Below are 10,983 nucleotides of genomic sequence, written 5' to 3'. Positions count from 1 at the left end.
GCTCATGCCTATAATCCCAGCACTTTGAGAGGCCAAGGTGGGCCGATCACTTGAGGTCAGGAATTTGAAAGCAGCCTGGCCAAACCTCATCTCCACTAAAAATACAACAGTTAGTCGGGCATGGTGGTGCACACCTGCATTCCCAGCTACTTGGGAGGTTGAGGGAGGAGAATCCTTTGAACCTGGGAGGTGGGTTCCCCAGGCTTAGAGCAAAACACCCATCTTGTCTGTCTCCACTCTCATTCCAGGCAATCGTGGTCATTTCCACAGCCTCAACCACTGCCTACCTGGGATGCATCCCCAGCCCAAGTCTCCAGCCCAAACCTGCCTTCCTAGCCCCAGACCCATCTGTCCTGGCACACGTTGCCCCCTGGGTCCCAAGCAACCTCAGCCAATGAGTCCAACGTCAACTTCCTGTCCTTGCCTGACACTGTCAGCCCTGAGGTCAGACTTGACCATTCACCTCCAGTACCTGATAGGTCCATCAGTCCTTTGGAACATATCCCACGAATATTCCCCAAACCAGGCACCGGACTCCACACATCAACACCGTCATGTGAGTCACCAGCATCCCTGGCAGGGACCCCTGTCCCAGCCGCCAACTCATCTCCTTCCTGTCCCTTGAGTTCTGTGTCACATTCCAGAGGCCACAAGAAGAAAAATGACAACCTTAATGAAATTAAAAGAATTGAGAAGACATTTCCCTATGGTCCAAAGTCTTTCCAACTGAGAAACACATATCAAGATCCAGCCTGCCAACCCTGCGGTTAAATGTTCCTGAAATAATTAAAGCCCAGGGCAACACAGCCCCCACTCCACAAGTACTCCTAGCATAGTAAGACTTGCTTCTCTGGAGGGGCTTGAAATCTCCAGTGTGTACCCTGCCCCTCTCTGTCATAGCTAACAGGAATGTGTTCCGTGTCTTCTTCCTGCTCAAAGGACCATCCACAAATCTGCGCAGGCAGCACTTTCGGCCAAGCGGGGGGATGCGAGAACTTCCCACCATTTCCCACTTACGCACTGCATTCGTCAGGAGCCTCCCTCACAAATTACAAGAGCGCCACGGCAGACACACGACGTTCCAGTGGGTGGCCATGTCTTCATGTCAGCTTGAAAGATCATCACCAGGGAAATATCTATATCTCGGCAGAGAGAGCTTCAGCCTGTGTAGTCCAGCTGTGCTCAAATGGAAATCCAGAAACCCAGATGTTGGTCCAAACAACCTGTCTCGGACAGCCAGCTCTGCAGGTCCCCAGCGTGGGAGTGAACTGGGTGGGCCACCTACCCTGCCTGCCCACATCCCTGCCTCCTGGAATCCTGGACCCTGAGAACCAGGGGGATGTGGTGGGGAACAGGCAAGTCTTGTGCAGAAAGCCAAGATGCCACCCAAATCCATTCTGCAGTCTAGGTGGGTGATATTCTGGTCTGCACCACACCAGTGCATGAGGGGATGGAGGATGGAGTCTAGACAAGCCAAATGTAAAAAGATATTGCCCAAGTATTTTGTGCTTTGTCTGTGTTACAATGCTATGCCCAGCCCAGCGTGGTGGCTCACACCTGTGATCTCAGCACCTTGGGAGGCCGGGGCAGGAGGATCACCTTAGGTCAGGAGTTCGAGACCAGCCTGGCCAACATGGTGAAACCCCATCTCTACTAAAAATACAAAAATTAGCCAGGTGTGTTGGTGGGCACCTGTAATCCCACCTACTCGGGAGGCTGAGGCAGGAGAATCACTTGAGCCCAGGAGGTGGAGGTTGCAGTGAGCGGAGATCATGCCACTGCACCCCAGCCTGGGCAACAGAGTAAGATTAGGTCTTTAAAAAACATAAAAATAAATAAATGCTATGCCCAGCATTTTTCATGTACTGTCTTTTTTTTTTTTTTTTTTGAGACGGAGTCTCGCTCTGTCGCCCAGGCTGGAGTGCAGTGGCGGGATCTCGGCTCACTGCAAGCTCCGCCTCCCGGGTTCACGCCATTCTCCTGCCTCAGCCTCCCAAGTAGCTGGGACTACAGGCGCCCGCCACTACGCCCGGCTAATTTTTTGTATTTTTAGTAGAGACGGGGTTTCACCGTTTTAGCCGGGATGGTCTCGATCTCCTGACCTCGTGATCCGCCCGCCTCGGCCTCCCAAAGTGCTGGGATTACAGGCGTGAGCCACCGCGCCCGGCCATGTACTGTCTTATTATCTCAGTAAATCCCATATAACCTTCCTATGAAAGTGTATCTCATTTATCTCCATTTTATAGATGAGAAAACTAAGGCCCCTGGAGTCGTATTAATTTTCCAAGATCGCATTGCTCATAAAGGGTACAGCAGGGACCCGAGCTCGACACTCTCACCCTCAAACATTTCCACAAGTGTAGACCAATGGCTCTCAACTGGGGTGGTTTTGCTCATGTACCACTCCCTTGTCCCACAGCATTTGAAAGCATCTGGAGACATCTGGGGTAGCCATAGCTGGGAGGGTAGGATGGCACCTAGAGGATGGAGACCAGAGATGCTGCTAACCATCCTACAATACACAGGACGCCCCTCCCACCACCACCACGAATGGTCTGACCCCAAGTGTTGTGACTGTGCCAAAGCTGAGAAACCCAGGTTTCTCCTCAGCAAGAAGGGAAAATACCTGCAACGTGGATGCACCTCTACAGGCGCCCCAGGCTGACAATAACCTTCCTGATCTGGTTTCAACCCTGGATGCTTTTACCTGGTGCGTCCATCAGGGATTTCAGGGACTCCAGTGAGTTATCACCCTTGAATGCTCGGTTCTGCCTGACGACCCAGAAATCTCTGCCAAGATGCCTGGTCTTGGGGAAGGCTCAGCAAGTGGTTGAGGTTGATAACCAAATACCTAGGAGAGACTTTTCTCTCCCTCCAGGAGGAGCTGTGGGTCAGACACACCCTGGGATCATTCACAAGCGGTCAATAAAGACTTGGCGAGGGCCAGGTTTTCTAGGCCTTCTCAATGGGATGGGTGTTTGTGGATACACAAGAAGCCTGTGAAACTTCTGATATTGGCAGGAAATCAATGTCCCCCACCCTCCACCCCCCCACATCCCCAACATAAACACATGCCCTGCAGCAGGACTTGGCACTCAGGGGCTCCTGGGGTCCCGATTTATCTGCTAAAACGTCCTCTAGCCACCACCGAATAAAGCAACCCCTTGCCACCCAACCACAAGAGCACAGCCTGGGAGCCACTCCAAGGGACACCAAGTCACAGTAAAACCTCAGCCATCCAGAGCACCAGGCCTGGTGATGAGAAAGAACATTTTATCCTTAAAAGCATCTGAATGCCTATGCTGCTTCTTGCAGAGAAAAGTCCAAAATAATCTGCTATTAAAGAACGAGGATGGTTTTGACATTTTTACCAAGCTAATGGTCTACGCAGACAAAATCTCATAAAAGGGCACTCTGTTCTTCTTGATCCACTCAGACATGGCCTGTGAGTGAAGAAACGGGCTCTCCTCCTCAAAGAAATCACTGCTGGTCCTCACACCAGCCTGACACTGCTTCATGGGTTCTTCAAAGAGAGTATTCCCATAGAAACTAAAAGGGAAGAGGAATGTGTCTGGCGGCCATTGCGGGCAGCAGTGGGCTTTGGGCCAAATTTTAAGTTTGAAAATCCAGATTCCCTCTTTTCGAGGGGCCGCCAGACTGAGCAGATACAGGCACCGTGAAAAGAGCGTGCCATGTTCAGATTAAGGAAACAAGGATGGTTTCTGTTCAGTTCCTCCATCATGCCTCAGGTCATGCGATTCCCATTTCCCTCTGTGGACCAAACAATTCAGTGGGGTTTCTGCCTTTTAAATATTTCATTATCAACATATCATCCTTTTAGCCTCCAGAAAGCATTTTAACATGGAGATTCTGGCTTAAGACTCTTGTGGGTCTGTCTGTCTGTCTCTCTCTCTTTTCCTTGAAACAGTCTCACTTTGTGACCTACGCTGGAGTGCAGTGGCAAGATCCCAGCTCACTGCAGCCTGACCTTCCAGGCTGTAGCAATCCTCCCACCTCAGCCTCCAAAGTACTTGGGACTACAGGCACACACCACTATAACTGGCTTTTTTTTTTTTTTTTTTTTTTTTAGGTAGATATGAGGCTTCACCATGTTGCCCAGCTGGTCTTAAATTCCTTGGCACAAGTGATCCTCCCTTTTCAGCCTCTCAAAGTGCTGGGATTATTGGCTTGAGCCATCATGCCCAACCAAGAACCTTGTCTCTTTTGATGCACCCCAGAACAAAACATCACTGCAAAAACACACCAAGGCATGAGTTTTAGTCCTAAGTCCCATTTATCCACCATACACTATGTGCCAGGCACAAGGCTAAGTGCTTCTATGGACGAGCTTCCCTTAATCTCAGCAGTAACAACCCCAGGCAATGGGGCCTGTTGACAGATCCATTTGCCACTGAAGACAGTAAGGCTCAGAGAGGGTAAGTGGCTTGTGCCATGTCAGCCAGCTAAGGAGGGGCAGAACCAGGATGCAAACCCCAGCCGCCTGGCTCCAGACTCGGGTTCCCAAGGTCCCACTACACTTGGTCACTCCACTGCATTCTGGTATCCTGGTCTTTGGCAGAGTCCACGTAAAAGAGGGAGGTAGAGGGAGTGAGAGGGACTTCATGCAATAAAGTGTCCCGGCGTTACACTGCCACCGTAATTGTGTCCCGACCAGGACCTCTCCCCTCTCATCCTTTCCGTGATCGGCCCTGGAAAACCTTCCACAGAACTATCCTCCTTCTCCCAGGATCTCAGAGAGAATTCATCTGAGTTCAGTGTCCAGGTGACCCAAGCTCTGAATGCGGTAACGTGCACGGAGAGATGAGGATGTCACCATGAGCAAGCCTCCCAGACAGCATCCGGGAGCAACCCCAAGACTGTGCAGGGGGGGGCTCTGATGCCGCCCACGGCGAGGAGGGCCGCCCGTGCTGCCTAAATGGGTTCAGAATGAAGGCCACCCTCTCGCCCATGTGGGGCTCATTCACCACGAATCCAATTATTAAGACAAGTTCAGCTGAGCAAATGGTCAAACATAAAAACATGTGGAAGGAACAAAGAAGTCAACCCCATTATCCATCAAAAACCGTCAAGGTGGCGGCCCTCACTGAGGGTTACAGCTCTCCAGTGGGACCTCATCTGCCCTCCAAACCCATGTGCCTCCTCAGTGGAAGGCCAGCAAAGCCACACAGGAAGAGTTGGCGTAGGAAAGCAGAAAGTGAACCCCAGGAGGACAGGCTGGCCACGGAGCCCCATCCCACACACACAGACCCAGTGACTCAGGGGCCCACGTGTGCAGGACACCGGGAGCTCACAGGGACAGCGCCCCGGGGGATGGAAGGAACTTTGCCTCCCTGTCCCTCTCTGTAGGGATGGAAAGAGGAGAGCGATTTCTGGGATGGAAGCCATCTGCCTTCTCTCAACTCTCGCTGCCCAACCAGAAAGGGAAGAAAAACAGGAAGATGAGGGACAGGTGAGGAGCTGGGTGAGCGCCGCCAGCCCGCAGCCCAGCAGAGCAGGGCTTGGCCAAGCATGGCAGGGACTTCCCCCCTACCCACACCACAGGCCCCTCGCCAGGTGAGAGGCACCAACAGAGTCCCAGACAGATGCCCCAGACAGGATGCCCAGCGCAACCCCCGCCCCTTCCGCTAGGGGCCCCCAGGACGCGGGGCTCCCCCTCCCCTTTTGGCCAGCCGCAGAGTCCAGCGGGTCTCCCGGCCAGGGACGTCGTGGGAGAATCAGGAAGTCGAAGCCACACAGCCGAGAAGGGGCAGCTGGCGTCTCGGAGGCCGTCACGAGCTGTCACTCCGCGCCCGCCGGAGTTGCCGCTCAATTACCAACTTTAACCCAGGGCCGGCCACGGAGCCTCCCGCCGCCCCTACCCCGCGCCCCTGGCACCCCCGGACCCCCGCGCCAACGTCACTTACTCCTCTGCCGTCGCCACCTGTCTGGGTGCCGGTCTTCTTCCTGCCTGGCCGCGGCGCGTCCTCCCCGTCCTCGCAGTCCTCGGGCTGCGCGCTTCCCCTCTCCAGCAACAGCCGCAGCCTCTTCTCTTCGGGAGGGACGTCGTCCTCCTCCCTCCTGGGCCCGCCATCCCTGCCTCGGGGCTTGCCAGTGGCTTCGGAGCTGCCGGAAGGGCTGGCCATGGCTCTGGGGGCTCTGCCTGCACCTGGGGAAGAGGAAGGACCCGGCGCGAGCGGCCTGTCGGCGGAGCTGGGGCGTCTGAACGCGGGCTCGGTGGGTCCGCGCGGCGCGGAGCTGGGCATCAGGGCGGGCGCGGACTCCTCCGCGGGCCGCTCCTGGCTCTCTGGCGCCCTCTGCTGGCCGCCCGCGCTCACCGCGGACACGCCGGGCCCTGGCCTGCGCTGCGCTCACCTGCCCAGGCCCAAGCAGTCGCTGTCCCCTGCCTGTGGCCAGGCCCGCTCTGGCCAGGCCCTGCACCTCCTCCCCGCCCCAGCCAGGTTGCACCCCGATGGTCTCCCTGCCCAAGGAGGAGAGAAGAGAAGGGACGCCCCGAGAGGGTGGACATCGGCCACAGCCACCTTGTCTTTGCTCTTACCCTGCGTCTTCCATGATTTGGAGGTGGTGGGAAAACTGAGGCTGCTCAAAACTCGTGGAGAATTCCGCCTGCAGGATGACATGAATGCACCTTCGCATTGCCTACCAACAGATCTTTTTTGAGCATCTCTGTGGACCAGGCGTGGTGATGGGGGAGGGGATATTGTGGTGAACATGACAGGCGTTGCCTTCACCCAGTGGGGCTCAGTGCTGGGTGAGAAGGCATTGAGAATGGACATTGTCAATTGGGCCAAAGGAGGCCAAGAAGAAGTGCTGGGGGCATGGGAACTAAAAAAGACAGGAGGCTCAGCAGGTCTTGGAGCTGGGAGAGGGCCAGCAGCAGCGGCTATTCCAAAGGAAACAACAGCTGAGAGAGGTCTCAGAGAGTTGTTCTCAGCCCAGTGGAGGGTGTTCAGGCAGAAGGAACAGCGTGTGCAAAAGCCCAGAGGCTGGGAAAGAAGCAGAAAGAGGACTGTGGGGCTGGAGCATGGTGGGCAAGGTGAGAGAGGTGTGGTGGGGGGACAGATTGCCTGGGACCCAGCTGTGCAGGGGCAGAGGAGATAGGGGATCCTTGCAGGCCCCCAGCCAGGGCTGAGGCACAGAGACAATGCAGGTGGGCAAAGGGAGGAGACGTGGAGAAATATTTTGGAGGCATGCCCTGATGAATGAGCCCAGGATGCACCCTTAGTGTCAGTGTGGAGCTCCTTCCTTGGTTGTGTGATGAGCTGAAGCCGGGGGTATTTTCTGGACATCGAAATGCTACACCCAGAGTCCAGGACAGGCTAAGTGAACACCAGCATCTCCTGGCCCACCTCAAAAGCAGGAGAGACAGGGGAGACTGGGGAGGGCCGGGGTGGAAGGGGAAGCCAGGAAGGCAGGAGAGGCCAGGGAAGCAGAGGAGGCCAGGGAGGCAGTGGAGGCAGTAGAGGCTGGGGAGGCTGTGTCCTTTCCATGATTCTGCCCAGGATCCTAGGTCCCTGTACTCCCTGAGCTTCCCCACCCCAAGCTCTGGAAACATGTTGCACAATGGTCTCCCCACTAAGCTCCTGATTGCAGCCCCTACCCTGCTGTGCTCCCTATTTCAACCCTAACAGCTCTCACAGTGGGCAGCACATAGTAGGTGCTCAGGAATCACTGGTGGGGGAGCACATGGGTCTGCTCAGCACCTTCCTCTCTCCTCCAGCTCTCCCCTGTCACGAAATAATTCTGATAAGAACACATGGGCTTTGAGTCCCTCTTCTATTACTTTCCATATGCTAATCCATCTATACCTCACAGCAGCCCTGGGGGTAGGTGCAATGAGGATGCCCATTTTATAGAGAAGGAAACTGAGGTATAAAGAGGGTAAGTGACATAGGCACACTACAGAGGCTGGGGCCAAGTGATCAGAGCACTCAATCCCCAAAGGCAAGGTGGATGAAGTTACCATAAAAGACAGCAGAGTCAAAGCTGCAGCCAGAATAGCCTGACTCGCAGAGACATATGGTGCCAGCTGATCATGGCATTCCTAGAAGTGAAATAGATAAGAAGCCTGCCACATTTTTACTGGATCTGTGTTTGCAGAAGAATTCTAGGTCAGGTGAGCAGAAGTCTAATCTGAATCATAAAAACAGAGTCACAGTCCCCAGTCAATTCCCAGACATAAGCCAGTTCACAGACCCAGAGTCCCTTGTCTGAATGGGAAGCCAGGTCCCCTCCAGAAAGGACTCTGCTCCAATGCCACAAATTAATACTGTCAATCTTTCTCCCAGCCTGCCCCCAAGGGAATACACAGCCTTTTACCAGGATGACTGAATAGTAGAAAAGGAACTAATGGGACCTGTGCAGGATCACTGGACACAGGCTCTGAACTGGCACTAGGGCGAGACTAGGGTCTACCAGTCAGAAAAGACATTTTGGAAGTCAGGTGAATGTTGGTGCAAGTTCATGTCATGGTAGGTCCATTGGGTCCCCAAATCCATCCTCTGGTTATATACAAAATGGCTATGTTGAGATTTAAATTCAGGGTATCCAACTTAGAGGCTGTGCTCTTACTCATGAAACATTCTGACACTAGTAACCAATTTAAAAATGCAAACACCTCCTGGAGCTAGCGAGAGTCCTCCAAACAGTCATGTAAATTGGTTCTGTCAAGGATTTCCTCCTAACCCCCCCACCCCCCCGCTGAGAGCCAGTTGCAAGGAGAGACTAGGGAAGGTCATTGGTTAACTTTGTTGCTAAAAGCTCCTCTGGATAAAGAAGAGCTTTATCCAGAAAAAAAGAAGCAAAATAGAGTTCAGCAGAAGTTGAGAAAAGAAGCAAATAGAGTTCAGCAGAAGAGGTAAGAAAGTAAGTTTATGTTTGACCAGGCACAGTGGCTCACGCCTGTAATCCTAGCACTTTGGGAAGCCAAGGCGGGCAGATCACGAGGTCAAGAGATCGCACCATCCTGGCCAACATGGTGAAGCCCCGTCTGTACTAAAAATTCAAAAATTAGCTGGCCATGATGGCACACCCCTGTAGTCCTAGCTACTCGGGAGCCTGAGGCAGGAGAATCACTTGAACGCAGGAGGCAGAGGTTGCACAGGGCCGAGATCATGCCACTGCATTCCAACCCGTTGGTAGAACAAGACTCCATCTCATAAAACAAAACAAAACAAAACAAACAAAAAAACCTAAGCTTATTTTTAAGCCTGAACAAGTGTAGTGGTTTAGGGGTTCTGCAAACACGGCCCCAGTCAGGCTACAAGATGTTGTGGCAGCAACATTTACACCCAGTCACTCCTGGCCGGCTGAGCCACTTTTCAAAACACCCTTGCACGGCTGTGCAGAGCGGATGGCTCCACTGGCAGCCGGCAAAGCCATAACTCACACTGTCACCACTGCCCTCAAACCCCTTCAGTAAGTACTTTGTTTTTTTGAGACGGAGTCTTGCTCTGTCATCCAGGCTGGAGTGCAGTGGCACAATCTCGGCTCACTGCAAGCCCTGCCTCCTGGGTTCATGCCATTCTCCTGCCTCAGCCTCCCAAGTAGCTGGGAATACAGGCGCCCGCCACCATGCCCGGCTAATTTTTTGTATTTTTAGTGGAGACGGGGTTTCACCGTGTTAACCAGGATGGTCTCGATCTCCTGACCTTGTGATCTGCCTGCCTCGGCCTCCCAAAGTGCTGGGATTAGAGGCGTGAGCCACCGCGCCCGGCCTGGTAAGCACTTTTAATCAATGCAACAGGAATAAACATTTGCTGCAGAGTGGCAATGTGCAGGGAGGAAAATGCTTCCACTCAGGCTCAGAAAGCAAAACCTCCTGGCTGTTTGCATCTGTGCAAGAGCTCGCAGGAAAAGCCCTCTGTGTGGCTGCCAGCCTCACACATTCCCCCCAAGGGGTGAGTTTCTCTTTCCATATTAATCTATGCTGTGACGTGCCATCTGTCAACCACCACACCATTCTCAGTTGCCATTTCAAAGCATCTTTGCCCTGTGAATGGTAACCAGCCCTGCCCTGCAATCCCCCAGGTGACATTGAACTTAAATGAGAGAGAAAACAGGTTCCAGGGTGGATTTCAGTTCAGCATCTTGGAGTCTCTGTGTGGACATGAAATCTGTCTCCCCAGCTGTGGGCTGCATCTTTGTTTGTCATCTGGTTTGGTTCTTGGGGACTTGGAAACTCGTGGGCACCTTTGCAATTTGTCAAGAAGCTGCACGGCCCTTCCAACAAAAGCGAGGAATAGGAACAGAAGCCCAAGGCTTCAGATCAATGTGCAACTTAAAGGAGACTCAGTGTAAAAGCAAACAAGAGTCAGAGGGATGCCTAAGGCAGAGTCTAGTCCCCAGGGCAGCTATAAGGCAAAGAGAAAGAGAGAGAGATAGACAGAGACAGAGACAGAAAGACAGAGGGAGATGGGAGGAGACATGAGGCACCCAGCCCTCTGCATCAAAATCTGTACAAGAGGGGCCTCCTAAAAATGCAGGAGGCTGAGGTGGGTGCACACAGAAGTTCAAGACTAGCCTGTGCAAAATAGCAAGACCGTGACTTTACAAAAAATACAAAAATTAGCCGGGTGCGGTGGTGTATGTCTGTGGTCCCAGTTACCCAGGAGGCTGAGGTAGGAGGATGGCTTGAGCCTAGGAGGTAGAGCTGCAGCGAGCTGAGATAGCACCACTGCACTCCAGCCTGGGCAACAGAGTGAGACTTCATCTCAAACAAATTTAAAAAAAATTTTTAAAGGATCACCCTGGCTACTTGAATGGGTAATAAGAAGGTAACAGCAGAAGCAAGGAGACCAGCAGGGAGATTCTGCAGGTGGGAGTCCACAGTGGCTCAGACCAGGCTGGCGCTGAAGACTGCCTGAATTCTGTACATATTTTGATGATGAAGCAACTCACCGACTCTTGAAGAGTGGGCTCTAGGAGACTGTATTTTTAATAAGCTCTCAGAGGAGTCTAATGCAG

The 10,983-nt window shown here is 53.2% G+C and overlaps 1 protein-coding gene across 1 annotated transcript in view, besides 2 other annotated features; it reads right to left on the bottom strand.

Moving 5' to 3' along the window:
• Window positions 1–10,983, bottom strand: part of LOC112267908 (translation initiation factor IF-2-like) — a 92,138-nt gene that overhangs the window by 75,587 nt on the left and 5,568 nt on the right. Inside the window, exon 3 of the mRNA XM_047449437.1 lies at window positions 5,925–6,362. Coding sequence (XP_047305393.1) covers window positions 5,925–6,362 — 438 coding nt within the window. The remainder of the gene's footprint in view (window positions 1–5,924; window positions 6,363–10,983) is intronic.
• Window positions 5,490–6,134: an enhancer, noted in NCBI's record as "H3K4me1 hESC enhancer chr3:125485452-125486096 (GRCh37/hg19 assembly coordinates)". NCBI's record gives its function as "activates a minimal SCP1, AML or CMV promoter by ChIP-STARR-seq in naive H9 embryonic stem cells {active_cell/tissue: H9 hESC(naive)}" and the evidence as "EXISTENCE:reporter gene assay evidence [ECO:0000049][PMID:30033119]".
• Window positions 9,470–9,978: an enhancer, noted in NCBI's record as "H3K4me1 hESC enhancer chr3:125481608-125482116 (GRCh37/hg19 assembly coordinates)". NCBI's record gives its function as "activates a minimal SCP1, AML or CMV promoter by ChIP-STARR-seq in naive H9 embryonic stem cells {active_cell/tissue: H9 hESC(naive)}" and the evidence as "EXISTENCE:reporter gene assay evidence [ECO:0000049][PMID:30033119]".

The sequence above is a fragment of the Homo sapiens genome, chromosome 3 (assembly GCF_000001405.40).
Source record: "Homo sapiens chromosome 3, GRCh38.p14 Primary Assembly".
NCBI lineage: Eukaryota > Metazoa > Chordata > Mammalia > Primates > Hominidae > Homo > Homo sapiens.
Note: the sequence above shows the minus strand (reverse complement) of the source record. Positions and strands in the feature narration are given on the sequence as shown.